Here is a 27,821-nt window from a genome sequence, read left to right as displayed (position 1 = left end):
CAATTCTTAGTCCTCTGGTACCTCTTTTTCTCCTCTTATTCGGGCCTTGTGTCTTCCGTTTGGTTTCTCAATTCACACAAAACCACATTCAGACCATCACTAATCATTCTATATGACAAATGCTACTTTTAACAACCCCATAGTACCATCCTCTGCCCCAAGATCTCCCCACAGCCTAAACTCCTATTCCATGTAACCTATTATAAAATTTTCTTTAAGGTCCACACAGCCCTTAATCCTGCTCGAAGCAGCCCTGAGAAACATGGCCCATTATCTCTCCATACCACCCCAAAAACAATTTTTTCGCCACCCCAACACTTCAACACTATTTTGTTTTATTTTTCTTATTAATATAAGAAGACAGGAATGTCAGGCCTCTGAACCCAAGCCTGCATGTATACATCCAGATGGCCTGAGGCAACCGACAAGTACAAAAGAAGGGAAACAGCCAACTCCTATCTTAACCGATTGACCAACCTTATGACATTCTGTCATGACTTGATCCTGCCCTGTCCCAATTGATCTACTGATCAACCTCGTGACATTCTTCTTCTGGACAATGAGTCTTATGATCTCCCCACCATGCCCGCAAGAGAAAAACCCCCTTTAACTGTAACTTTCCACTGCTTACCCTAGTCCTATAAAACTGCCCCATCCCTAACTCCCTTCACTGACTCTCTTTTTGGACTCAGCCTGCCTGCACCAGGTGATTAAAAGCTTTATTGCTCACACAAAGCCTGTTTGGTGGTCTCTTCACATGGATGCATGTGACACTAACATTTTTTCTTTTCCTTTTTTTTTTTTTTTTTTTTGAGATGGAGTCTGGCTCTGTCACCCAGGATGGAGTGCAGTGGCACAATCTTGGCTCACTGCAACCTCCCCCTCCTGGGTTCAAGCAATTTTCCTGCCTCAGCCTCCTGAATAGCTGCGATTACAGGTGCCCGCCACTGCGCCCGGCTAATTTTTGTATTTTTAGTAGAGACAGGGTTTTGCCATGTTGGCCAGGTTGGTCTCAAACTCCCGACCTCAGGTGATCTGCCTGCCTCAGCCTCCCAAAGTGTTGAGATTACAGGCATGAGCCAATGCACCCAGCCAAGTCTAACACTTTTTTATACAACCGACCTTCAAATATTGGTAAACATCCTTGGCCGGGCACAGTGGCTCATGCCTGTAATCCCAGCACTTTGGGAGGCCAAGGTGGGTGGATCACCTGAGGTCAGGAGATCGAGATCAGCCTGACCAACATGGAGAAATCCTGTCTCTACTAAAAATACAAAAAAAAATAGCCAGGCATGGTGGCGCATGCCTGTAATCATAGCTACTTGGGAGGCTGAGGCAAGGAGAATTGCTTGAACCTGGGAAGCAGAGGTTGCGGTGAGCCAAGATTGTACCATTGCACTCCAGCCTGGGCAATAAGAACAAAACTTCGTCTCAAAAATAAAAATAAAAAAATAAAAAAACAACCTCTATGTGCCACCTACCCCATCTTCCCTCGGCCGTTTCCCACGTAGGGTCACCTGAAGCCCCACACCCACTGCTCACTTTCCCACGGGCAAGTGAAGTGCAGCAACCACAGCCTACACTCTGAATCCTAGGGGTGTTCCCCAGAGCAGCAGAGCCACAGGAACCCCATCCCCGTCCTGGCACCTCACCCCTATCTAGAAGCTGAACGCTGTATCAGCTGATCTGGGGGGACTGATTTTTCCTGCTCCTGCTGCTGCTTAGTCATCCCACACCTGTGCAGATGTCTACTTTTTATTCAGTTTTATTTTGTAAGAAATATTTATCGGATCCTGCTGTGTACTGTCACTGGAGAGACAAAGGTGAATCACACCTGGTCCCTGCCTCACAGAGCTCCAGGCTATGGATGAAACCCACTCAAAGTCAGACCATTACCATTCAGTGAGAAACACCGTGACAGACATCAGAAAAGGGTTTTCTTTTTAAAACAAGAAACAAAAAAGCTTTTTATAGAGACAGGGTCTCACCATGTTGCCCACACTGGTCTCAAACTCCTGGACCCAAGCCATCCTCCCACCTCAGCTTCCCAAAGTGCTGGGATTACAGGCACCCATCCAACACAGGCTTTTTGACGCATCTCACTAATCCCCTGTGAAAAATCTTCCACTCTTGGTTTCCTGGGGTCAGTTTTCTTCATTTCAAGCTCAAAGTGAAAAAGAGAATACAAATATCCCTGATGGTCCTTTGTGCGGTCACAGCTGGACCCGGTATGTCCTCCCGGTTAATCCAGGGTGCTCAGGGCTCCCATTTCACTCTGAACGTCCTCTCTCCTATCGGAGCTCACCACGTCTACACCTGCAGCAGCCAGGTAGCTGCACACTAATAGAAAATCCAGCAAGTCAGAAAACTTGATTTACTCCTGTAACTTTGAGGCTACTGACTGTGTTGTTGAACTAATCCTATAACTTCCCTGCACTTTAATTTCCATGTCTGTAAAGTGGGGCAGGTGGATTCGGTCACCCTAGGTGCCACTGTATAGTGAGAGCTCCTCAGAGACAGCAGCACACCTGATCTCAGCATCCACCATCTAGTAAATACCAGGCACACACTAGGCGCTCAAAGTCTCACTGAATGTATGTGTGAATAAATGACTATATGAGAGCCATGTGGATCATGGACAAAGTCAACAAATATTTTTGAATGTCTACCAAGTACACTGTAGAATAGGGAAATAAGTAACCCAGGCAGGGCGGTGTTTTCTCCCAAATTCCCCTTACCTCCTCCTGAGGAATGGAGGGCCTCTGTACATCAGAGAGACTCTTGACACAAATAATGTTCTTGAGATGCATCATAAGAAGTTGTGATGTTAACAAGAAAAAAGTCCATTTGTCTTGGGGGTGTTTTATATTAATAGACCTAACAGACCGGAAGCCCCCTCCAATGGGACACAGGATGCAACACCCACCCCAAGTGCATGGAGGGGAAACCAGAGGGAGCAGGACCTGGAAGAACAGAGGGGTAAAGAGACTGAGGCACGGGAGGTAGGTCTGAGGAGGAGCTCCCGGCCCCTGCGGTGGCCTGGGTGTGGACTGATGCAGAACTCAGCAGCATAAGTAAAGTGGCCGCACCAGGCTCCATTTGTACATGGGATGGTTTTTCAGTAAGATTTTCTTTCTGCTAATGGGCTACATTTTCGCACACTTTCTAATACATCAGGCCCAGTTAATGGGCTACAAAACAATCATTCCATTCAACAGTCATTTATAGAATACTCCCAAAGTGCCAGACCCTGTGTAAGTTCAAGCAATACAAAAATGAACACGAACAGCTCCTGTCCTCTAAAATCCCCATCCAATGAGCTCCAGGAGGCACCTCTCCTACAACACGCCCCTGCTCTGCACGGCCCTCCTCTCTGCCCTCCACCAACCCAAATCCTCCCCCAACTCCAGCTCAAGTTCCACCCAACCAAGTCCCTCTCAGTCCCCCTGCACTCCTGCCACTTTGAGAGATGACTGCACCCATATCTCTAGGCTTTATGAAATGGATGTCATCTCCCTGGTTTTAGAATTTTCCAGAAAGAAGCCACATCAGTGATTTGCATCAGAACAAGCTTAGGCCCACCCTGAGCCTTCAACTTGGACACAGGCTCAGTCATAGCAGTCCCTGGCCCCTGCAGTGCTTTATAAACACTGCAGTAGCAAAGTCCACAATCAACTCTGTGACAAGTCAACAGGCCGAGATAATTTGAAAACGTGGAGAAAAAAGAATGGTCAAACAAAACCAAAGGGCTTTGACTCATGCCTTTCCTCTTTCCTTCTCTCAGGGAAATAAAGTCACACCCCCTGCTCTCACTCCTGCCTGGAGGCTTCCAAAAAAAGGGCTCCCTTGTTAGCCTTCCCTTCAGCCCCCATGAATATCACCCAGCATTCAAGCCCAGCCTCTCCTCTCCCTTTGAGCACATTTCCTAAAGTCTCAAATAAATGTCAAGTTTAGTGAGTGCTGATATTCTATGCCCCTAATGTTTACTTCAAGTATTATTACCTTTCTTCTTTTGCCCGGGGCCATTTCCAAACAAGGGCTGGAGCCAGGCGCCCCAGCAGCTGGGCAAACACACTTCAGGGCTCCTTCCCTCCTGTGGCTCCTGTTTCTCAAACCCTCTGAGACCTAAAGCTCTGGGGGTCTCTTCCCCCAACCCAGTTCCCTCCCCTTTAGACCAGAACAACTAAGCCATGGCCACCTTCCCGATGGACACACAAGGAGGCCTGGTGTCACCCACTGCTCCAGGGGCGGTGTTCTCGGCAGGGGAGCTGCCTCTTGTCCCGGATCCTGCTCTGCTGCCATCTTATGTGGCTGCAGAATTGGAGGGAATTGTGAACAGAGAGAGGACAGGGCAACTTCCCAGGCAACAACACTACTATTGCCGATATTTTGCCAAGGATGGGAGCAGGAGCACAGAGGGGAAACAGACCTTGTCAAAGTCTCTTCTACCAACACTTAGTATCCACTTTCCTGCCAAATATTCAGATAGAGAGGGTCATTGAAAGGTATAAGGAAATCCAAGCAAGAAAAAAAGATTTGAGGAAGAAATCATGAGGCATTGGGGTGTGAGGAGGCGGGAAAGAGTACAGGAGAGAACTGGCACAGCTGCCAAGTTATCAGTCACCTTCTTATGTTCTTAAGAATGCTGAATTTCTTTTGTTTGACCAGTTTCACCTCCCAGATTCCCATAAAGCACATGGTCTAATCTGTTACGTAACAGCAAGACAGCGTCACCTCACCTGTTCTCGCCCTCAAATGGGAACGCTGGCCTGGGACTAAAGCATAGACCACCAGGCTGAGTATCCTGACCTGAGTCATCCCCAGGGATCAGGAGCCTCCAGCAGGGAACCTTCCATTATATTCTTCAAGCAACTTACAGCTGCACCGACAGTTGCGATGAAAGTTCTAATCTCTTCCCTCCTCCTGTTGCTGCCACTAATGCTGATGTCCATGGTCTCTAGCAGCCTGAATCCAGGTAAACAAGACTGTCTATGAAGGGGAAAACGGGGGGAGAAATGTGGCAAAACAGGCCACAGACACATCAAAATGCAGCTTCTCTTAGCTATGGGGGATGGGGCAAGTGAGCCTTTCTCAATGCCAGTTTCCTCCTTTACAAAAAAACAGCAAACTGTACTTACACCCAAACAATGTTGAGAGAGTTAAACGAGATATTGTATGTGAAAATATCTGCAACTGGCCGGGCGCGGTGGCTCACTCCTGTAATCCCAGCACTTTGGGAGGCCAAGGCAGGGCGGATTACAAGGTCAGGAGATCGAGACCATCCTGGCTAACACGGTGAAACTCCATCTCTACTAAAAATACAAAAAATTAGCCAGACCTGGTGGCACGCACCTGTAGTCCCAGCTACTCAGGAGGCTGAGGCCAGAGAATTGCTGGAACCCAGGAGGTGGAGGCTGCAGTGAGCCGAGACGGCACCACTGTACTCCAGCCTGGGTGACAGAGTGAGACTCCATCTCAAAAAAAAAAAAAAAAAAAAAAGGAAAGAAAAGAAAAGAAGATATCTGCAATTGTAGCTGATCCCCCTCACACACACGTACGTATGTATGTATATACTAGCTCAACAAAGATTTGCTCCCATGCCTTCTCCCCCAACACTTTTCCAAAAGAGTAACATAATTCTCATGGCTAAACTTAATGATGATGGTGGGAGAGTGTTGAAGGCAATGGTACCTTTATAGAAGATCAGGAAGTCCTTGCTTCTATTCTTTACAGTGCACTGGAATGCCACCAACATGTCTTAATGCTATTTACTGGTAACGTAATAAACTAGAAAAAGCCTGTCACCAGGTAGTGTCCATATTTGAAGCTTTATCCATAGCAAGCCCTGCTGTAACAGCTCACATTTTGGGAAGCCGACTTTAGCTTAGGGGTTCCAAATCTGCTCCAGCTTTCACTATAAAGTGGCCCAGCCCTGCACAGAGCAACCACGCAGAAAAGACCTGATCCCCATGTATATTTCCGCTTGTGAGCACCATCTCCCCAAAGGCCACTTTGAGGTGAAATGGCTATGTTACATACTCAGCATCAACTTGGTCCTAAAATCAGGAGGCATTCTCCCTTCTCCACCCCAATTTCCAACATCCCCTCCTTTGTAGAGAGAGTGCTCTGGAAGCTGTTAAGCCCCATAGCCCTAGGGCCTAGACCACTGTTCTGAAAGGGAAGACTTTTCCATCACTATGACAGACACCCAGGCTAGAGTCCTCTGCCTGGATTCAAAGCTGTAGCCCCAACCTGCCTTTCTAGTGTACCTCCCTCTACTCACTAAAAATACTATTTCTCCAACCAAACTAACCTGTTTGCCCTTCCCTGAACAGGTATTGTGTTTTTCCACCAGTTCAACTTTGCTCACACACCCAGCTCAAAACCACCTTCCCACAGCTTCCTTCAGTTCCTCCCACAGCCAGACATGTGGTCTCCCTCCTGAGCGCTGGCTTAGCCCTGCTGGACACTCTCTTCTTGCACTTATCATCTGCTGCCTTATATTGAGGGCCTTCATGTGCCTTTCCTGCCCCCACCCCCTGTCCTTCTAGGCTGCAAACTACTTGGTGACACAGACTGGTGCACTGTTTCCATATCCCTCACGCTATCCAGCTCAGTACTCAGCAAACATTAGCTAACTGCAAGAATGCATCCTCAGGTTGCTAAATCAAACCAGGGCTTCATAGCAGCTCTACTGACATTTGGGCTGAACAGTTCCTTGCGGTGGGGGCTGTTCTGTGTATTGTGAGATGTTCAGCAGCATCCGCGTGGCCTCTCTCCCCTACATGCCAATAGCAGCCTCCCCTCTCCCTCATCCAAACCCCTGTTATGGCAGCCAAAAATATCTCTAGACATCGCCAAATGACCCCGGAGGGGGAACCACCCTTGGTCAACAACCACTGCTCTACACCAATACTTCTCTGCATGGCCACACTTTTAGACTCACCTAGACCTTTACACTCAGCTTGGAAGTCAGGGGGACCTAGATCCTGGCTCTGCCACACACTTTGCAACCCTAGACAAGTCGCCTCACTTTTTTGAGTTTCAGTTTTATCATCTTAAAATGAAGAAAATACCACTTGTCACACACACTTGTGAAGATTAAATGATCCGCAGCGTGTCCTAGAAAGGGTTTAATAAATGGACTGAGTAGTTTCTAAGTCGCTCCTAAAGCACGAGGGTGAGGAACTGGGGAAAGCTCCCTGCGCCACCAGGGGGCGCCATCACAAACCACGTCGAGTGGGTGGCGGCCGGGCTCAAATCTTGTTTCCCAGCCAAGCAAAGTTTTGCAGTGCAGGCCTGAGTCTGAGCTACTTAGTGGCTAAAGGAAATAATAGCTCCTCCATCCCCAAAATAAATCTCAGAATAAAGTCTAATCTTATTTTATCTCTTAATCACATACATGCTCAATATGCTTTTCACAGGGTTAAGGGAAATAGAAATAAGTGAGAATATATGAGGTCATTAGGAAATAAATTACTTAAAATAACAGATTATTCATTAATTATAATATTATTTAATTATAAAATTACTTATAATATCAGACACATTAAGAACTCCTATATCACAAGCATTGTTCTAATCACTTCACACTTACTATCTCATTTGTCCTCACAAATCTAATGCATTTCTTACTTTTTCTTACTTTTCATTTTTCAGACTTTGAAAAATATTGTAAAAATAGAGTTCCAGTACAGCCTTCATCCAATTGTTTTCAAACAATATCTTATGTAACCATAATACAATTATCAAAACCAGGAGATTAGCACTGATACCATAATATTAACTAATCTACAAATGTTCAAATCTTGCTAATCATCCCACTCATGTCCTTTTTCTGCTCCAGACTCCAATCTGGGATCCCACTGAATAAAATGTCAGATCTCCTAGGTCTCCTCCAACCTGGGATAGTTTCTCAGTCTTTCCCTCTCTTTCAGGACCTTGACACTTTTGAAGAGTTCTAGCCAGTTGTTTTGTAGAATGCCCCCTGAATATGGGTTTGTCTGATATTTCCGGCTACACATTTTGGGCAAGAATACTTCAGAAGTGATGTATCCTTCTCTGGACATCCCAGCAAGAGCCCCAGGATGTCGATATCTCTCATTACTGATGAGGTTCACTTTAAGCACTTGGTTCAGGTGGTGTCTGCCAGGTTTCTCTACTGTAAAGTTACTATTCATCTTATTGTAATTAATAAGTATCTTGTGGAGAGACACTTTGGAAATATGTAAATAGCCTGTTTCTTCTCATCATACTTTTTTTTTTCTTGTTATTCACCAGTTATGGCATCATCATACTTTTAATATTAACTTTTAGAATCTATGGATGATTGTTTCCTATAAAGAATTATTACTGTGGTGTTGGCCAAATAGTGATTTTCTACTTCCATTGTTCCTTCTACATTTATTTAATCGGAATTCTGCCATAAGAAAGAGTTATTCCTTTTTCTTTTTCTTTTTTTTTTTTTTTTTTTTTGAGATAGAGTCTTGCTCTGTTGCCTAGGCTGGAGTGCAGTGGTGTGATCTTGGCTCACTGCCGCCTCCACCTTCTGGGCTCAAGCGATCCTCCCACCTCAGCCTCCTGAGTAGCTGGGACTACAGGCAGACACCACCACACCCAGCTAATTTTTGTATTTTTAGTAGAGACGGGGTTTTGTCATGTTAGCCAGGCTGGTCTCTAATTCCTGGCCTCAAGTGATCCCCCCACTTTGGCCTCCCAAAGTGCTGGGATTACAGGCGTGAGCCACCATGCCTAGCCTCTTCCTTATTTATTTATTTGTTCAGTTATTTATTTATATCAGCATGGACTCATGAGTATTTATGGGTTGGAATCCACTACTATCATTATTTATTATGTTGCTCATATTGTCCCAAAATTGGCCATTGGGAGCTCCTTCTAGTTGGCTTCTGTGACCTTTAGACACATCTCCACCATTTTTTGAGCAGCTCCTTACTTTCTGACACCACAAGAAGCTTTGGGCTCCTCTTGTGTTTTTCTGCCCCAGCCCTGGATCAGCTATTTTTCCTGGAAGCCCTAGTTCCTTTCATGGGAGAATGATATTTACAGACTATGGGCACTGACTGATAGGTCCATTGCTAGTAGGTGCTGGTGCTTCTAGGCCCTCTAGTGGTCAGAGCTGGGAAATAACACACACGCACACTCATGTACAGTAGTCCCCACTTAATCGCAGTTTCAGTTACCCGCCAACAGTGGTCCAAAAATATTGTTATCTTGAGAAAGAGACAAAGAGAGAGAGAGACCACATTCACGTCATTTTCATTACAGTATATATGTGTGTGTGTGTGTGTGTGTGTGTGTATTTTATATATATATATATATATATATATTTTTTTTTTTTTTTTTTTTTTTTTTTTGAGACAGAGTCTCTTGTCGCCCAGGCTGGAGTGCAGTGGTGCAATCTCGGCTCACTGCAAGCTCTGCCTCCTGGGTTCACACCATTCTCCTGCCTCAGCCTCCCGAGTAGCTGGGACTAAAGGCGTGCGCCACCACACCTGGCTAATTTTTTGTATTTTTAGTAGAGATGGGGTTTCACCGTGTTAGCCAGGATGGTCTCAATCTCCTGACCTCGTGATCCGCCTGCCTCGGCCTCCCAAAGTGCTGGGATTACAGGTGTGAGCCCCCACCTGGCCTATTACAGTATATTTTTAAAATTGTTCTATCTTATTGTTAATCTCTTACTGTGCCTAATTCATAAATTAGACTTTATCGTAAGTGTATATGTGTAGAAAAAATATATATATAGGGTTTGGTACTATCTGAGACTTGAAGTATCTTGGGGGTCTTGGAATGCATCCCCTGTGGATAAGGGAGGAATATTATTAACCACATCTTACAAATTAGGAAAATGAGGCACAGAAAAGTTACACAACTTTGTCCAAAATCACAAAGCAAATATGTAGTGGATCTGGGAAGTGAAAATAATGACAGATGCACCACAAATCCTAACAAGTGGAAGTAACTTCTTTACACATCCACATCAGCAGAAAGCCACAAGCCCAATATTCCAGCATAGACACTCACTTTGGAAAATAACCAGAATTCCACAGCAATAAACACAATGATAACCATCATGTACTCAACACCCGCCTGGACACTGGGCTCCCACAGCAGCTCACTTATTCCCAACAACTCTGCAAGGAGGATTTTACCACCCTCCTTTCACAAATCAGGGAATCAAGGATCATAGAAGCCAAGTGACTTGTCCAAGTCGACAGTTAAGTGACAGAGCCAGTAGCTGACCCCAGGCCTATGTGGATATAAAGTGCATGCTTATGCCACTGTATCAGTGGTTCCCAAAACTGATTTTAGGTGGAAAGTAAATAAGCTTCTTTTTACTTTAATATTTATGTGTTTATTCCAATGCATGTTAGGAAAAAACTAAGCATACATCAAACCTGTAATTTCACAGATAATATTGCATAGGATGAGGATGTTTTGCAAAATAAATTTGTTTAGAGAAAAAGTATAAAGTGGCCAGGCATAGCATCTCATGCCTATAATCCCAACGCTTTGGGAGGCCGAGGGGAGCGGATCACTTGAGGTTAAGAGTTCAAGACCAGCCTGACCAACATGGTAAAACCTGCCTCTACTAAAAATACAAAAATTAGCCAGGCATGGTGGTGGGTGCCTGTAATCCCAGCTACTTGGGAGGCTGAGGAAGGAGAATTGCTTGAACCCGAGAGGCAGAGGTTGCAGTGAGCCGAGATCACAACACTGCACTCCAGCCTGGGCGACAGAGTGAGACTCCGTCTCAAAAAAAATAAATAAATAATTAAATGAAAAAAAATTTAAACATTAGTATAGCTCTTCTGAAAGCAATTCTTAACTTTTGACCCAGTAATTCCACTTTGGGAACTCTCTCTCAAGAAAATAATCTAAAATTTGGAAAACAGTTACAAGAACAAAGAAATTTACCAACATCTAAAAAATAAAACTTTCTAAATATTCAGCAATGGGAAAGCAGTTAAATAATTTGGAACACATAATTATTGAGAGTATTATGCATTCATTAAAAATGTGTTATGAAGATGACACAGCAACATGCCTATGAATGGAAAAAGAGAATGTGTTTACATGCTATGGTTATCACTATATTAATAAAAAGCATATGTAGGTAACAAATATGCCAAAATACCAACAGTTGGTAAGAATAATAATTTCTCTGTTTGTACTTTCAAAATTTTCTCCAACAGTTAAATTACATTTAGACTGAAAAAAAAAAAAACTTCAGAATTAAGGAATTCAATTAAATAATCTCTGGGATTTCCTTCAAGGTCTAATATTCTGTGGTTTTTCTCTGGAACTAGGAGTAGAGGTCAGGCAAGAGTAAAAATGTTAGAAAAGTTTAAATGGCAGGACCTATGCCTGCTTAAATTACTTTGATAACACTCAAAACAGCACATGAGAACATTGGAAAAGCAGCCCTTGGGGAAATGACGCAACCCCCTCCATCTGTGTGGCAGAAGTCTGGGAAGTAGGAGGCCTGAATTGAACCATATGATCTCTAAGGGTCCTCTCCAAACAACTTATCCATCCACGTGTTGAACAAACATTTGCCAAATGCCTACCATGTGTTAGGAACCACGTACCTGAATGACTACTGAACCAATGGTTCAGAGTCTAGTGAAGGAGAAATATTTTATTTTAGTTTGCTAGGAATGCCATAACACAATACCACAGACTGGGTGGCATAAACAAGAGAAATTTATTCCTCACAGTTCTGCAGGCTGGATATATGAAATCAGGGTGCCAGCACAGCTGGGTTCTGGCAAGGGTCCTCTTCCAGGTTGCAGACAGTGGACTTCTCCTCTTATCTTCAAGAGGTGGAAAGAGAATGAAAGAGCTCTCTAGGATCCCCCCTACTTTTTTTTTTTTTTTTTAGACAAAGTCTTGCTTTGTTGCCCATGCTGGAGTGCAATGGTATGATCTCAGCTCACTGCAACCTTTGCCTCCCGGGTTCAAGCAATTCTCCTGCCTCAGCCTTCCAAGTAGCTGGGACTACAGGCACGCGCCACCATGCCCTGCTCATTTTTGTATTTTTAGTAAAGACAGGGTTTCACTATGTTGGCCAGGCTGGTCTCAAACTCCTGACCTGTGATTCACCCACCTCGGCCTCCCAAATTGCTGAGATTATAGGCATGAGCCACCGCGCCCAGCCCAAATCTCCTTTTCTTATAAGGACACCAGGCAGACTGGTGTAGGGCCCACCATAACAGCCTGATTTTAATCACCTCTTTAAAGGTCCTATCTCCATATACAGTCATTCTGAGGTACTGGGGGTTATGGATTCAACATGTGAATTTCGGGAGACACAATTCAGTCCATAAAAGATTTCAAACAACAACATTACAGTGCAATAACAGAACTGCATTCAACAACAATGGGAACCATATGAAGGTATAATTCATGTTGACAGGAAATATCAGAAACTACCATAAAGGAAGTGTCATCTGAGCCAAGCTCTTACTTGAGAATCTCAAGTCTATAAACCATCATTCTTGATTGTCTTAGGAATTTTTTTTTTTTTTTTGAGACCGTGTCTCGCTCTGTCGCCCAGGATGGAGTACAATGGTACGATCTCAGCTCACTGCAACTTCCGCCTCCTGGGGTCAAGAGATTCTCCTGCCTCAGCCTCCCGAGTAGCTGGGACTACAGGCGCCCGCCACCACGCCCGCCTAATTTTTTGTATTTTTAGTAGAGACGGGGTTTCACCATGTTAGCCAGGATGGTCTTGACCTCCTGACCTCATGATCCGCCTGCCTCAGCCTCCCAAAGTGCTGGGATTCCAGGCATGAGCCACCGTGCCCAGCCTGTCATAGGAATATTTTAAGTATCAAAAAATGGAGATAAGATAGAATCGGAAAATAAAACAGGCTCGGATAAAGGCCAAAAGAAGAATGTATTTGTTCCAGAGGAACAAAGGTAAATACCATCGTTTAATAGTTGAACTGGGACTCTGGATTCAAATACAGCTACTTGGGGTGGGTGTGGTGGCTCATGCCTATAATCACAGCACTTTGGGAGGCCAAGACAGGCGGATCGCTTACGCCCATGAGCTCCAGACCAACCTGGGCAACTTGGCAAAACCCTATCTTTACAAAAAATACAAAAAACTAGCCAGGAGTGGTGGTGCATGCCTGAAGCCTCAGCTACCCAGGAGGCTGAGATGGGAGGACCAACCAAACCCAGGAGGTCAAGGCTGCAGTGAGCCGTGATTGCACCACTACACTCCAGCCTGGATGACAGAGTGAGACTCTGTCTCAAAAAACAAACAAACAAACAAAAAACCCAGCAACTTGGAGGTCAAGGGAAAATCTTGATTTAAGGAATAATCTCCTCCTCGCTCTCACTCTTTTAAGTCATGAGGATTTTAATGTGAGGTATGAGGAGAGGGCAGGAGGTTTCGACAAACCCCTGCCTTTTATCATCTCTTCCATCTAGAAGCCATTCTTTCTCCACCTACCTTCAGCTAAGCTTTTCTCTAGGCCAGATTTTTTTAATCATTAAATTTTTGAATATGCTTATGTATAGGCCAGATTTTAAACCTCAATCCCTTATCGATTAAAATACCCCTCAGCTGGGCACAGTGGCTCACGCCTATAATCCTAGCACTTTGGGAGGCCAAGGCAGGAGGACCACTGGAGCCCAAGAGTTCAAGACCAGCCTAGGCAACACAGCAAGACCCCATCTCAAAAATATAAATAAAAATAAAATATTCATCTCTTGAAGTAACCTAGATTCTTGAAGTAAAAATGGAAAAATGGAACTGTGCTGACCTAGGTAGAACAATGCTGGGAGGATCATTTCTGTGCCCTTTCCAGTGTCTGGATGTGACCTGTTTCCTTCCGACAGGGGTCGCCAGAGGCCACAGGGACCGAGGCCAGGCTTCTAGGAGATGGCTCCAGGAAGGCGGCCAAGAATGTGAGTGCAAAGGTCAGTAATTCAGCAACAACAACAGCGATGGCATCACCATGACCCCAGCTCTCTCCCTTGGGCCCCTCTGAGACCAATGCAGATGTTATCTCAGCTGACCTCACCCATTCCCCTCTCCACAGCCTGCCACATGCAGCACCTGTGCCCACTTTCTTCCTGACTCTCAGGCAAGAACTGGACTTCTCCAAGGTCTAGGGGAAAGCCAGCCAAATGTCAGGCTGCGCCCTGCCCCTTATCCTTTTCCTGAAGAACCCAGAGCTACCGTCCAAAAGCCTTTTTATTTTTTCCTGGCCTTCCAAAAGCTTCCTGAATCCTATTCTCAGCCTTATTTTACTCACAGGCAAGACTGAAAGCAGAGAGGCAAAATGGCTTCCCCAAGGGAAAGTAGCCACTGAAAAGCAGACACCCAAGCCTTACTCCTCATTCTTTGGAGTAATGATATTCTGATGCACCCTCCAAACCTGCCACCAAACCCTTGCCCAAACCCTTGCCCAAACCTTGCCCAAAGTTGTCAGGAAAAACAACTCAGAAATACTGGCATTCAAATAGCTGGATGGACACTGTTCTCTGTTGACCCCTTTTCCCACCCCATTGCAGTGGAAATGCAAGGCACAGAAGATGGCGATTAAAGCTCTGTCCTACTCCCTCCTATCAAATGTATTAACTCTCCCATCTAAGCAGCAATGCTGTTGTTCCAGATTGGTTCCTGAGAGCCCCGAGAAGAAAATTCATGACAGTGTCTGGGCTGCCAAAGAAGCAGTGCCCCTGTGATCATTTCAAGGGCAATGTGAAGAAAACAAGTAAGTTTCCAAAGGATGATTTTCCTTATACCAGAGTCACTCCGTGAAATCACTAGGGAAGAAGCACGTTGAGAATAGAAAAAAGAGGTGAAATTAAGACCAGGATAAGCACACAACTCAGCCCTTTCTACTCAATGTCACCTTGTCGGGAAATAGGAAGAGAGGAAAAGCAGGATACAATTTTCCTGATACTGGAAAGGTTTAACCAAATTCTTAGATTTTAAAACCTCACTGTTTACCAAAGTGGGGGTAGATGGGGCTGTTGGAGATCTGGTCATTAATCTCTGAAGATTACACCAGTGTCAGCATCAAACAGAATTTGACTCCTCCCTAGTCTAGCAGTTTTGTGTTTGTTATTTTGTTCTGTTTTTTGAGTAGGGGGTCTTGCCATGTTGCCCAGGTTGGTCTCAAACTCCTGGGCTCAAGTGATCCTTCCACCACAGCCTCCCAAGGATCTGGGGTTAGAGGTACACACCACCACACCCAGTTTAGTCTACCAGTTTTTAAGTGTCATATAAAAAGTAAATTGGCAGCCGGGCACAGTGGCTCATGCCTGTAATCCCAGTACTTTGGGAGGCCGAGGCAGGCGGATTGCTTGAGGCCAGGAGTTCAAGACCAGCCTGGCCAACATGGTGAAACCCCGTCTCTACTAAAAATACAAAAATTAGCGGGGCATAGTGGTGCATGCCTGTAATCCCAGCTACTCGGGAGGTTGAGGCACGCGAATTGCTTTAATCCGGGAGGTGGAGGTTGCAGAGAGTTGAGATCATGCCACTGCACTCCAGCCTGGGCGACAGAGTGAGACTCTGCCTCAAAAAAAAAAAAAAAAAAAAACTAAATTGGCAAATGTTAAACTGATTGATATTATGATATTATCAAGAATGGGATATATCAGGATCCTTATACACTATTGACGGAAGTAAAATAAATTTGGCTGTATCAAAATTGTAAATGAGTATAATAACTTTAGTAATCTTACTTTAGGAAATCTCAACAATGGAATACTAGCATGGATGCTCAAAATATAGGTACAAGAATATTAATTATAGCAGTATTTGTATTGACAAATAAATGGGGGAAATTTTCTTCAAAGGCAAATTGGGAAAAACTAATTACTGTCAAAAATAATTAAGTAAACCAGGGGCAGTGGCTCAGGCCTATAATCCTAGCTACTCAGGAGGCTGAGGCAGGAGGATCCAGTAAGCCAAGGAGCTCAAGACCAGCCTGGGCAACATAGCAAGATCCTGTCTCTAAAATAAATATAATAATAACAATAATAATAAAAATAATAATAATAATAATGAGATAAATCATTATGTGTTGGCTGGAGAGATATCCACAATATATTAATGAAAAAAAAATGATGTAGAGACCCCCTATTTCACATCCTTCATTAACGTAAGTTTCAGGTGGATTACAGATCTAAATTTGAAAGACAAATTTACAAGGAAATACAGGAGAATATATTCACAACCTTGAGGTATGAAAGCCTTTCTTAAACAAAATACAAAATGCACAAACCATAAAGTAAAAGAGTAAATAAATCTGACTTCACTGAGATTATGAAATTTTGATCATCAAAAGAATAAAATGACAAGCTGCCAAATAGGAGACGATATCTGTAACATACACAACCTTCAAAGGATTAGTATTCAGAATACATATATAAGGAATTGCTACAGACCAGTGAGAGGAGGGCAGGAAATACAACAGACAAACGGGCAAAAATACTTGAATAGCCACTTCACAGATGATGAAACCCAAACAGCTAATAAACAGATGCAATGGCACTCAACCTTATTATTACAAGGAAAATGTGAATTAAAACTAAAGTGAGGCCAGGTGCAGTGGTTCATGCCTGTAATCCCAGCACTTTGGGAGGCCAAGGCAGGGGGATCACCTGAGGTCAGGAGTTCGAGACCAGCCTGGCCAACATGGTGAAACCCCGTCTCTACTTAAAATACAAAAAAATTAGCCGGGCGTGATGGTGCACATCTGTAATCCCAGCTACTTAGGAGGCTGAGACAGGAGAATTATTTGAACCCGGGAGGCAGAGGTTGCAGTGAGCCAAGATCACGCCACTGCACTCCAGCCTGGACAACAGAGTGAGACTCCATCTCAAAAACAAAAACAAAAAAAATGGGGAGAGACATAAACATTCAGACCATAATATATACATAAAGTTTAAAAATGAGAAAAAATAAACTAAATTATTTAGGAATCTATACACATAGGTGGTAAATAATAAAGAAAAGAAAGTAAATAATTACTATAAAAGTCAAGATTATCACTGTGAGGGGGAGAGAAAGCAGTGATCAGAAAAGGAGGGGTGCTGTTGGCAATATTCTATTTCTTTCTTTCTTTCTTTTTTTTTTTTTTTTGAGATGGAGTTCTGCTCTTGTTGCCCAGGCTGGAGTGCAATAGCGCAATCTCGGCTCACTGCAACCTCCGCCTCCCGGGTTGAAGCAATTCTCCTGCCTCAGCCTCCTGAGGAGCTGGGATTACAGGGATGCGCCACCACACCCAGCTAATTTTGTATTTTTAGTAGAGATGGATTTCTCCATGTTGGTCAGGCTGGTCTCGAACCCCTGACCTCAGGTGATCTGCCTGCCTCGGGCTCCCAAAGTGCAGGGATTACAGGCATGAGCCACCGTGCCCGGACACAATATTCTATTTCTAAGCCTAGGTAGTAGTTTCATGAATATCTGCTTTATAACTATTTATTGAATTGCATGTATAGGTTTCTATGAACTTCTATAGATATATAATACTTTGCAATAATAGATTCAGTTGTTTTTTTTGCAGAGGGAGGGGCGCAGTTGAGACAAGGTCTTGCTCTGTCACCCAGGCTGGAGTGCAGTGGCATGATCACGGCTCACCTCCTGGGCTGAAACATTCCTCCTGCCTCAGCCTCCCCAGCAACTGGAACCACAGGTACACGCCACCATGCCTGGCTAATTTTTGTATTTTTGTAGAGATAGGATTTCGCCATGTTGCTCAGGCTGGTCTTTAACTCCTGGGCTCAGGCAATCTGCCCACCTCGGCCTCCCAAAGTGCTGAGATTATAGGCACAAGCCACTATGCCCGGCCAGATTTCTTAAAGGTGCCGACTAAGGCAATACGTATAGTATAATCTCATTTTTGTTTTTAAAATAAACCATTGTATTTATATACCAGAAGGTATGGAAAAATACGTAGCAAACTATTAACAGTGGTTAGCCCTGGAAAATGTGTTGTAGAGGCTGGGGTGGGAGGAGTCCTTTTACTTTTTACTGGATTTTAAAATTTTTTTCCACTGGATGAGTCTTATTTTTATAATTTTTAAAACTCTCATAAAAATTAAATGTTGGCTGGGCACAGTGGCTCACACCTGTAATCCTAGCATTTTGGGAGGCAAAAGCGGGTGGATCACCTGAGGTCAGGAGTTCAAGACCAGCCTGGCCAACATGGTGAAACCCCATCTCTACTAAAATACAAAAATTAGCCAGGCATGATGGTGGGTGCCTGTAATCCCAGCTACTCGAGAGGCTGAGACAGGAGAATCGCTTGAATCTGGGAGACAGTGGTTGCAGTGAGCCAAGATTGCACCACTGCACTCCAGCCTGGGCAACTGAACGAGACTCCATCTCAAAAAAAAATTAAATGTGAAGGCCAGGCATGGTGGCTCATGCCTGTAATCCTAGCACTTTGGGAGGCCGAGGTGGGTGGATCACATGACGTCAGGAGTTCCAGACCAGCCTGGCCAAAATGGTGAAACCCTGTCTCTACTAAAATACAAAAATTAGCCAGCCATGGTGGCAGGCACCTGTAATCCCAGCTACTTGGGAGGCTGAGGCAGGAGAATCACTTGAACCCGGGAGGCAGAGGTTGCAGTGAGTTGAGATCCTGCCACTGCACTCCAGCCTGGGCAATAGAGCAAGACTCCGTCTCCAAAAAAAAAAGAAATGTTAAAAATGGTTTTAACACTAGCCTCTCCCCTTTATTTGCACCCTAGGACACCAAAGGCACCACAGAAAGCCAAACAAGCATTCCAGAGCCTGCCAGCAATTTCTCAAACAATGTCAGCTAAGAAGCTTTGCTCTGCCTTTGTAGGAGCTCTGAGCGCCCACTCTTCCAATTAAACATTCTCAGCCAAGAAGACAGTGAGCACACCTACCAGACACTCTTCTTCTCCCACCTCACTCTCCCACTGTACCCACCCCTAAATCATTCCAGTGCTCTCAAAAAGCATGTTTTTCAAGATCATTTTGTTTGTTGCTCTCTCTAGTGTCTTCTTCTCTCGTCAGTCTTAGCCTGTGCCCTCCCCTTACCCAGGCTTAGGCTTAATTACCTGAAAGATTCCAGGAAACTGTAGCTTCCTAGCTAGTGTCATTTAACCTTAAATGCAATCAGGAAAGTAGCAAACAGAAGTCAATAAATATTTTTAAATGTCACAGATCAAAATTGTTTCCTTCAAATGGGGTCTGCCAATTCACAACCAGATGACCCATTTTACCCTATTCACTGCAGACTGAATCCAGATTCTACACATACTTATCCCCACCAAGACCCTCACTCTGTCTCCATTGGCCTACTTGTTCATCTTTCACTCATTCGACAAATCTTTCTGAGGTAAGAGCGAGGTGGGACAAAAAAAAAAAAGCATACCAATGAACCAGACACGGTCTTATTAAAGATAATATAGGTTTAAAAAAAAAACTTGGCACAGTTTCTTAGCACTTAGGCAGCCTTTGGTATTTATGACTACTATCATCACCATTACCACCATCATTATCAGTCATTGTCATCAGTGGTCACTGTCTTCTGTGAGTTTCCAATCTAGTACAGGATCATAGTTCAGGGCTAGAGAGATGGCATGGAGTATCTCAAATGCCATTCAGAAGGGCCTCAAGCTATAAAAGTGGGAAGGCATGACATTAGTTTTTAACATGAGAGTTAAATGATCAGAATGACAATATAAGGAAATTAAACTAGCAACCTGGCTGGGCGTGGTGGCTCACACCTGTAAACCCAGCACTTTGGGAGGCCCGGGGGCGGGGGGTGGGGGTGGATCACTTAAGGTCAGGAGTTTGAGACCAGCCTGGCCAACATGGCAAAACCCCATCTCTACTAAAAATATAAAAATTAGCCGGGCGTGGCAGTGCACGCCTGTAGTCCCAGCTACTTGGGAGGCTGAGGCAGGAGAGTCGCTTGAACCCAGGAGGTGGAGGCTTCAGTGAGCCAAAATGGTACCACTGCACTCCAGCCTGGGCAACAGAGAAAGACTTGTCTCAATAAGTAAATAAATAAATAATCTGGCAACCATTTGTAGGAATGAACAAAGAGGGAAATAATTATTACAACAACTACAGAGACTGCCCCCTGAATGACGCTTTCCTCAGACATTAGAAGGAAAGAGAAAAAAGGAACACTCATCCAGCATCTGGCTTCTGTCATCCCAGATGACACGGAGGCCTAAATTGGGATGCTTGCCTTATGAGAAGAAACATTTTAACGGAGTGGTGGGTGGGGTGGGGCCCTATTTATGACACAAGAGAGCAAGCCCCTCCCTTCTTGTAAGAGAGTGCTAGGCACATAGCCTCCTCCTATTCCTAATCCTCCCACCAAAGAAAGAGGCACAGAGTTCATTACTTAGTGGGGGCCAGCTGTGATCGGCCAACTGCCAGCTGCCTTAAAAAGGAAGACCAGTGATGCTAGGATGGAGTGAAACCCAAGAGGAAGTGCCATCATGAGGAATCAATGAGAGATCTGTGAAGAGAGAGGGCTGGGTGGGAGCCCAGAAGGATAGAACCTGGAAGATCAATATCTCCCGTGAGGGAAATAACAATGGAGCCAGGTTCTAAGTCAGTGTCTAGGTCAGACTGGCAACCTGAACCACACCAGAGGCCTATAACCCCGCTAGAGCCTGGGCCAGAAAAGACACCCATAGCCCAGCCAGAATCGAAGACTCTGCAGGGATCCAATACCCAACAGAAGCCTGCTTCAAACCAAAGACCCCTCACCCAGCAGGAGACCCCTGCACAACATGATGCTGAATCCCAGAAGGAACCTAGAGCCCAACAAAAATCTGCTTCACAAGAGGAATTTCTTGCCCCACAGAAGCCCGCACCACAGCAATCACCTTACATCCAAAGGGTGCTGCTCACTCAACAGGAAGCTGCCTCCCAGCAGGGACCTGGGCTAGGAAAAGAATCTATAACTCAACAGGAGCCAGCATTGAGACAAAGACATGTAGCCCAGCCAGGGCCTGGGCCAGGAGAGCCACCTCCAGCTCAACAAGAAGCTGAATCAACACCTGCGGCCCAGGCTAAACCTGGAGCCAAAAGGGAGCCATCTGCCCCGACTGAATCTACGTCCCAAGAGACACCTGAACAGTCAGACAAGCAAACAACGCCAGTCCAGGGAGCCAAATCCAAGCAGGGATCTTTGACAGAGCTGGGATTTCTAACAAAACTTCAGGAACTATCCATACAGCGATCAGCCCTAGAGTGGAAGGCACTTTCTGAGTGGGTCACAGATTCTGAGTCAGAATCAGATGTGGGATCATCTTCAGACACAGATTCTCCAGCCACGATGGGTGGAATGGTGGCCCAGGGAGTGAAGCTAGGCTTCAAAGGAAAATCTGGTTATAAAGTGATGTCAGGATACAGTGGGACGTCGCCACATGAGAAAACCAGTGCTCGGAATCACAGACACTACCAGGATACAGGTGAGTGTGAATCTGGAGGAATTGAAGCCTCTCAGGGACAGTCATTCATTTACTTAAAAAATACTAAAAACTTACGGTGTATCAGGTTAGCTCTGGTCATCCTTCAACAATCCTGAGATAAAGATCAACATCCCCATTATTAAAAAAAAAAAAAAAAAAAAAAAAGGCTGGGCGCAGTGGCTCACACCTGTAATCCCAGCACTTTGGGAGGCCGAGGCAGATGGATTGCTTGAGGCCAGGAGTTCAAGACCAGCCTAGCCAAGATGGTGAAACACCGTCTCTACTAAAAATACAAAAATTAGCCAGGCGTGGTGGCAGGTGCCTGTAATCCCAGCTACTCGGGAGGCTGAGGCAGAGAAACACTTGAACCCGGGAGGCAAAGGTTGCAATGAGCTGAGATCGTGCCACTGCACTCCAGCCTGGGTGACAGAGTAAGACTCCATCTCAAAAAAAGAAAAAAACAAAGTCTCACTCTGTCGCCCAGGCTGGGGTGCACTGGTATGATCATGGCTCACTGCAGCCTCAAACTCCTGGGCTCAAGCGATCCTCATACCTCAGCCTCCGGAGTAGGTGGGACTACAAGTGCACCACCATGCCCCGCTAATTTTTACATTTTCCGTAGAGACGTGGCCTCGCTATGTTGCCCAGGCTGGTCTCGAACTCCTGGCCCCAAGCAAGCCTCCCACCTCAGCTTCCCAAAGTGCTGAGATTACAGGCATGAGCCACCGAGCACCTGGCCAACATCCTCATTTTAGAAATGAGGACATCAGGTAGAAAATAAAGAAGTAAGGGTTCTTGCACAGGGCCATGCAGTTAGGAAGTGGCAAAGTCAGGATTTGAAGCCGGGGTCTTTCTCCCCTGGACCAGGCTGCCTCCCTATAGAGGATTTGGGGAAAATCAAATCCCAGAGTGGGAAGGCACTCTGAGCTAGGGACCAGGAGACCAGGAAAGCGGCCCTCTTGCCAGTGTTCATTCATCCATCCACAGAAACTGACTGAGCACCAGCTCTGGGGTAGACACGGGCGTAAGTCCCAGCAATACAATACAAAGACGGTACCTTACCCTTCTGGAGTTTCCAGGCAGGCTAGGCAGAACATTGGGGCATCAACAGTCTCTCAGTTTACCAGGTCTGTCCTCTTCTGCCAGGAAGATACCTGCTCCCTGCCAGGCTGCCTCCATAGGGGACTCAGTCCAGCCAGGCGGAAGGGCCTTGCGGGTTGTGTTCTCAGCAAGGAGGAGCCGGGAGAGAGGTGCGGGAGCCGCCAAGGTCTCAGGCAAGGTCAGGGACTGACGGCAGGAAAGTTGGGGGAGCAGCATCAGAGGATAACGGGCCCAAGGCTCTGGGCTCACCGCAGGCACTCCCTCGCCTTCTCCGCCTCTTCCCGGGGCCCAGTGCTGCCCCCTGCCTGCTTCACAGGAGCCCCAGGAAGCTCCGATCTTCCTTCTCTAGGCTCAAAACCCCTGCCATGGAGAAGGGGGGAATACAAGTTTTATCTATGGAACTGGAGGTTACTTGTTGAAGTCCCCTGATGTGGGGGGAAAAACCAACGCAGCCCTAATCCTGAAGCTGAGGGTATCTGTGAGGCCCTGGTCCAGAGGGCAGGCAATGGCGGCCCCTCCGCCCAGAGGCCAGTCTGTCTTGTCTCTCCCACAGCTGATAAGAGAGTAACGCGTTTCTCAGCGCCGGGGCTGCTGGGTATGCTTTGAGAGGGAAGGAAGAGGGGCGGCAGGCAAAGGCAGGGATTGAGGCCTGCTCTCCCCAGTGCTGAGGATAGAAAGCTGTTTCTCCAGGCCTCCAGAGCACAGTCTCAAGGGATGCCCGCCCCACACCACCGCGGCGGGCGAGGTTGCCTTTCAGGCGGTCCAGAAGCAGTTGGCTGTGTGCGTGTGAGCAAGGCGGTCCAGAAGCAGTTGGCTGTGTGCGTGTGAGCAAGCCTCGAGCCTCCTCTGTTTCCCGCCATTTCTCAAGCATGCGTCGTTCCCTCTACCTCCGCTCTTGGGCCGGCCCGCGGCCTGAAGCTAGTGCGCAGGCGCCGAGCGTTCTCCTACCACCATCCCCCACCCTCATTATCGGGAGCATGGATTAGGGGGCGGAGACAGAGGGAGAAAGATCCCCCAGGAAAAGCGCAATAGGAGAACTAGGAGACAGGAGAGGGAAAGCGGGGCTCCCTCCTCCAACGGCTCTCAGGCACAGCCACGCCTCCAGCGCTGGCGCCCCGCCTCGTCTTTGAGTTGGCAGAGGACCTGGCCCGCCCCCACCCCAGGCAGAGGCTCAGAGGCGCCCCACTTTCCCCCTTCAAAAGGCGGGCCGGGCCGCGTGCTAGGGCATCCCTCCCTGGGAAGGTGAGTGGGATGGCGAGACTGAGCCAGCACATGGGAGGCTTCCCAGCACGTGGGAAGATCGGGACTTCCCTGCTGGGGTGCTCCCCGCGGGGCTCCGCACTAGTCCTGCCCGAAGGACGCTTTTCGCCACCCCCGGGGTTGCCTTTTTGTTGGCCGCGAGCCCTTTAATGCGCGGTAGGGGGCGGAGCCAGATCTTAAATTCTGGCGGTTGGGGGCGGAGCACGGCAGCGGAGGGAGACCAGAATTGGTTAGGGAGCTGGACCCAGAGAAGAGCAAGCTCGGGATTGGGTAATAGGGGGGCCCGACAGTAGTGTGTAGCGAGGATTGGCCCTCCGGGCAGGGCCTCGCGGCTGGAATTGGCCCCCGCGGGAGGACCGCGGGGAATTGATGGAGTTGGCCGGGGGAACGGAGCCCGCCGAGGCCGCTATGGCCCCGGCCTCGAAGAATGCCAAAGAGGGCTCAAGGAGCCACGGTCGCCGGCGGTGGCGAAAAGACAAGGCCAAAGGTGAGCGCGCGGAGACCGGCAGCAGCCCGGAAGGAACCTCGTACATCCTACGGGGCAGTGGGGACAGCGTGGACTGGCCCACTGCCACAGGGAGTTGGGGGGGTCCGCGGACTGGCCCATTGCCGCTTGCGGGGACAACGGGATGATCCATTGTGAGAAGGGGGTGATGTGACAGCCGAGAGGCCCACCCTGGCACAGGGACTAGCTGACGCCCGGATCGGCTTGGGAGCAGAGTCCGGAATGCGAGCTTCGTGGACCAGGGTTCCCGCTCGGATTCCGTATTCGCTGTGTGACCAAGGGCAACGGATGCCCTCAGTGTTTCCCACCTGGGGAATGCTTCAAGCGCCGATGTTCAGGGCTCCAGCGCTCTTGAGAGGATAAGGGGGAAGGAGGTTAGCAGGTGTTACTCAAAGAGGAAGTCTAGCGGTGAGTCAAGGAGAGGTAGGAGGAAGGGGTGCCCATAGTGGAGAGTGCAGCGGGGCCAGTAAAGTTCATCGCAGTCCCGGCCTCCCACCCGGCAAGTCAGTCCATCCATCCATCCATTCATTGTCAGTCAACCCGCTTCAGCCGGCTCCACTGGGGCCTAGCCCTGACCCCTACCCTTTCCAGGACAACGGGCCCTGGCTTGGCTTCAGACCTCCACACCTGCCTCAGCAAAAGGGAAGGCCTCATTTCTCTAGGGTGTCACATTATTTTCAGGTCTCAAAAGGCGGAACAAAGGCTGACAGACCAACAGAAATGCTGCAAGCCTCAGGCAGGGGCAGGTCCTCAGTTACAAGCATTTATCAATCAGCATGGGGACCCGTGGGAGGTTCCCATGCAGGAAGGAAACTAACACCACCCCTCAGCCCCAGGGACCCCAAACTCATTGCTTCCCCTGCCGTAGAACACATCATTAGCCCAGAATAGACCTGGAGTTGGCTTCAGACACACGCAGGCTCAGACAGGCTCAGAGGGCAGACGGACTGGAGCCCAAGGGCACTCGCTGTCACAGCAAGACACTGAGCCTCACACCAGTATAGCATACCCAGAGGCAGTACAGACTGTAGTTAAGAAACGTGGGCGTCGGAGATCCGGTTCCTCAGGCTGGGAGCTGTGATGTTCTGGGCAGGAGACTCCCTCTTTCCCTGCCTCAGCTTTCTGAGCTCTAAAATGGGTATGATGATAGGAGTACCTCCTTTTGTGAGGTTAGAATGAATGTAGAGCGTTTGGCACAGGCACGCAGCAAACCCTCAGGAGAAGTGAAGGTTATTGTTACTGTTAGTCCCCACCGGACGGTGAACATCCTAAAAGCAGGGCTGTATCTGCCTTGTTTACCCTGTATTTCTAGAGCCTGGTATGCCAGGCAAATAGGCACTCAAATATTTATTGGATTAATAAGTGAAGGAATGTGTGAACTGTAACAGAGATCATAATAATCACGCTTCCCTTAGGGTTGTCATGAGGAGTCAGAATCCAGTTGGGCAGGGCTCCCTGCAAAACGAGCCATTCACAAAGGCTCATTCCTGCAAACTCCAAGATTTGCCTGTCATTTCCTGAAGCCCCGCCCTCGTGCCAGGCTTTAGATAAATTAATCAGACCTCACTCCTGCCTCAAGGGCATCTGGGCTGGCTGGAGCAATCCTCGTCATCAGTTTCATCTTGCCAGTAACTGGATGAGGCTAGTGTCCTTAGGATCACCCCATTTCCCAGATGACGACACTGGGGCTCTGAGGGACCAAGGCCGCCTGGGCTTCCTTACTTGGCCAGTGAGGGCAAAGAGATGGCTGCCTCAGCCTCCTCGGGGCAGGGAGTTTGTGGACGCACAACTGCTGTGGGCCCAAACTTGATTCTGGGCCCAAGAGGTTCCAGTCACACAGATTCATTCAGCAGACATTCACTGAACACTGAGCTGTGCCAGGCCTGGGCTGACAGATTCACAGTTGAGCTGGGGACACAGATATTACTCAGATAAGACTATGATTGTAAACTGTGATAAATACAACAGAGAAAAACACCCTGGGAAGATAGAATTGAGAGGCTTCCCAAGGAGGCAATATTGGACCCAAGATGGACAGGCGTTAAGTGCTGTGCAGGGGGCAGGCAGGGGAACAGAGAGGACAGTATGGAGAAAGACCCGAGGCTTGAGGAAACACTGAGTTACAGTGCAGAGGGAGCTCAGCCAGGGCCAGGAGGAAGAGGAAGAGGAAACAGGGCAGGCAGTTTAAGAGAGGAGGATGGTAGCTGGGTACAGCGGCTCACACCTGTAATCCTGGCACTTTGGGAGGCCAAGGTGGGAGGACCCCTTGAGTCCAGGAGTTTGAGGCCAGCGTGGGCAACATAGCGAGACCCCGTCTCTACCAAAAACACAAACATTAGCCGGGCATGGTGGGGTGTACCTGTAGTCCCAGCTACTTGGGAGGCTGAGGTGGGAGGATCAATTGAGCCCAGGAGGTTGAGGCTGCAGTGAGCTGTGATCGCACCACTCTACTCCAGCCTGGGCAACAATGAGACTTTGTCTCAAAAAGAGAGAGAGAGAGGAGGATGGTACCTGGCTTGGGAGGCCATGTGCAGGATTGGGGGCTTTATCCTGAAAGCAAGGGAGGGGGTGTTGAAGGGTTGGAAGTGTGTGAACAGATTTGTGTGCTAAAAAGATCCTGTGGCTGCTATGTGGACAACAAATCAAAGAGAACAAAATCAGAAATATATAAAGATCTGTCATAGTCACCCAGGTAATGATGCTACCGCCTGGACCAGGGAGGAGGCAGTGGAGGTGGGGAGAAGGGCCAGGTTCCAGAGGCCTTTAGTAGGCATAGTGGGCAGGACTAGGGGATGGATTGCATGGGAGTTGGGGGGTGGGGAGGTGGCCAGGATGACATCCTGGGTTCCAGCTTGAGCAAATGGGGAGAGGTTTGTTCTCAACACACACACAGAGACCAAGACACGCACAAGCATGTATATCCATTCATACATAAACAAACACGCCCACACAAGCTCACAGGCCAAGAGAAACAGAGACACAGATACATTCACAGGCATACAAACATTCATACCTTCAAATGTACCAGTGCCGACGGACACAGGCCAGGACACACGCCAGCCATGACACATACCTGCAGAGGTACATATGTACACGTGAACCCCAGACACACTCACACCCGACCAGAAAGCATATACTTTGAAGCACAGACAGAGGGAGCAGCACACAGAAACACAGCAGAGATCAGCAGCTCTGCCCTGGAGCTGCCCCCTGCTGGCCGTGTGACCCCGGGGGTTATGTCACCTTTCTGTGCCTCAATTTTGTCATCTGCCAAAAGGGATGATAATGGTCTCTCCCTCATAGGTTGTGGGGCAGGCGACATGAGTCACTTCACATAAAACACATAAAGAAATCTCATCACCTCCTTTGAGAATGAAAAAAAAAAAAAAAAGAAAAGAAATCCCAGCACTTTGGGAGACCAAGGCAGGAGGATTGCTTGAGCACAGGAGTTCGAGACCAGTCTAGGCAACACAGCTAGACTCGATCCCTATTT

The 27,821-nt window shown here is 47.2% G+C and overlaps 2 protein-coding genes and 1 long non-coding RNA gene across 12 annotated transcripts in view, besides 4 other annotated features; 2 read left to right on the top strand and 1 right to left on the bottom strand.

Moving 5' to 3' along the window:
* The window catches only part of LIPE-AS1 (LIPE antisense RNA 1), a 255,208-nt gene that overhangs the window by 204,627 nt on the left and 22,760 nt on the right, over window positions 1-27,821 (bottom strand). Inside the window, exon 1 of one of the 2 annotated variants that reach the window (NR_073179.1) lies at window positions 22,525-23,974. The exons of the other annotated variant lie outside the window; for it this stretch is intronic. This is a non-coding gene — a long non-coding RNA (LIPE antisense RNA 1). Of the gene's footprint in view, window positions 1-22,524; window positions 23,975-27,821 lie in introns of those variants that run through there. 2 annotated transcript variants of the gene reach the window in all.
* On the top strand, window positions 4,783-19,451 carry CXCL17 (C-X-C motif chemokine ligand 17). Of its 2 annotated transcripts, none has more exons than NR_133910.2 (4): window positions 4,783-4,975; window positions 13,873-13,953; window positions 14,635-14,753; window positions 18,748-19,451. NR_133910.2 is itself a non-coding variant. In NM_198477.3 (4 exons), the coding sequence occupies exons 1-4, from the start codon at window positions 4,897-4,899 to the stop codon at window positions 18,843-18,845; spliced, it is 360 nt and encodes a 119-aa protein (NP_940879.1). In that variant the 5' UTR covers window positions 4,783-4,896; the 3' UTR covers window positions 18,846-19,451. The 2 variants fall into 2 exon arrangements, 1 of the variants encoding a protein (NP_940879.1); NM_198477.3 differs by having other exon boundaries at window positions 14,652-14,753.
* Window positions 7,265-7,354: a silencer, noted in NCBI's record as "silent region_10716". NCBI's record gives its function as "represses an Ori minimal core promoter by ATAC-STARR-seq in GM12878 lymphoblastoid cells {active_cell/tissue: GM12878}" and the evidence as "EXISTENCE:reporter gene assay evidence [ECO:0000049][PMID:35858748]".
* Window positions 9,033-9,212: a silencer, noted in NCBI's record as "silent region_10715". NCBI's record gives its function as "represses an Ori minimal core promoter by ATAC-STARR-seq in GM12878 lymphoblastoid cells {active_cell/tissue: GM12878}" and the evidence as "EXISTENCE:reporter gene assay evidence [ECO:0000049][PMID:35858748]".
* LIPE (lipase E, hormone sensitive type) overlaps window positions 20,341-27,821 on the top strand; it is a 25,875-nt gene continuing 18,394 nt past the window's right edge. For 5 of the 8 annotated variants that reach the window (NM_001416107.1, NM_001416105.1, NM_001416101.1 and 2 more), the window contains exon 1: window positions 24,144-24,310. In NM_001416107.1, the coding sequence (NP_001403036.1) occupies window positions 24,251-24,310 (60 nt within the window). In that variant the 5' untranslated portion in view covers window positions 24,144-24,250. Of the gene's footprint in view, window positions 21,463-24,143; window positions 24,311-24,451; window positions 24,737-27,821 lie in introns of those variants that run through there. The other 3 variants (XM_005258937.4, NM_005357.4, XM_006723218.4) reach the window with 2 other exon arrangements.
* Window positions 24,150-24,219: an enhancer, noted in NCBI's record as "active region_14718". NCBI's record gives its function as "activates an Ori minimal core promoter by ATAC-STARR-seq in GM12878 lymphoblastoid cells {active_cell/tissue: GM12878}" and the evidence as "EXISTENCE:reporter gene assay evidence [ECO:0000049][PMID:35858748]".
* Window positions 24,410-24,489: an enhancer, noted in NCBI's record as "active region_14717". NCBI's record gives its function as "activates an Ori minimal core promoter by ATAC-STARR-seq in GM12878 lymphoblastoid cells {active_cell/tissue: GM12878}" and the evidence as "EXISTENCE:reporter gene assay evidence [ECO:0000049][PMID:35858748]".

Source organism: Homo sapiens, chromosome 19 (assembly GCF_000001405.40).
Source record: "Homo sapiens chromosome 19, GRCh38.p14 Primary Assembly".
NCBI lineage: Eukaryota > Metazoa > Chordata > Mammalia > Primates > Hominidae > Homo > Homo sapiens.
The sequence above is the reverse complement of the archived record's forward strand: the minus strand, read 5'-3'. Positions and strand labels throughout refer to the sequence as shown.

Excerpts from the sequence above, each read along its gene's own strand:
- CXCL17 (NM_198477.3), top strand. The coding sequence starts at position 4,897 with ATGAAAGTTCTAATCTCTTCCCTCCTCCTGTTGCTGCCACTAATGCTG. Across the intron at positions 13,954-14,651 it reads CCAAGAATGTGAGTGCAAAG|ATTGGTTCCTGAGAGCCCCG; the intron begins GTCAGTAATTCA and ends CTGTTGTTCCAG. Across the intron at positions 14,754-18,747 it reads GGGCAATGTGAAGAAAACAA|GACACCAAAGGCACCACAGA; the intron begins GTAAGTTTCCAA and ends TTTGCACCCTAG.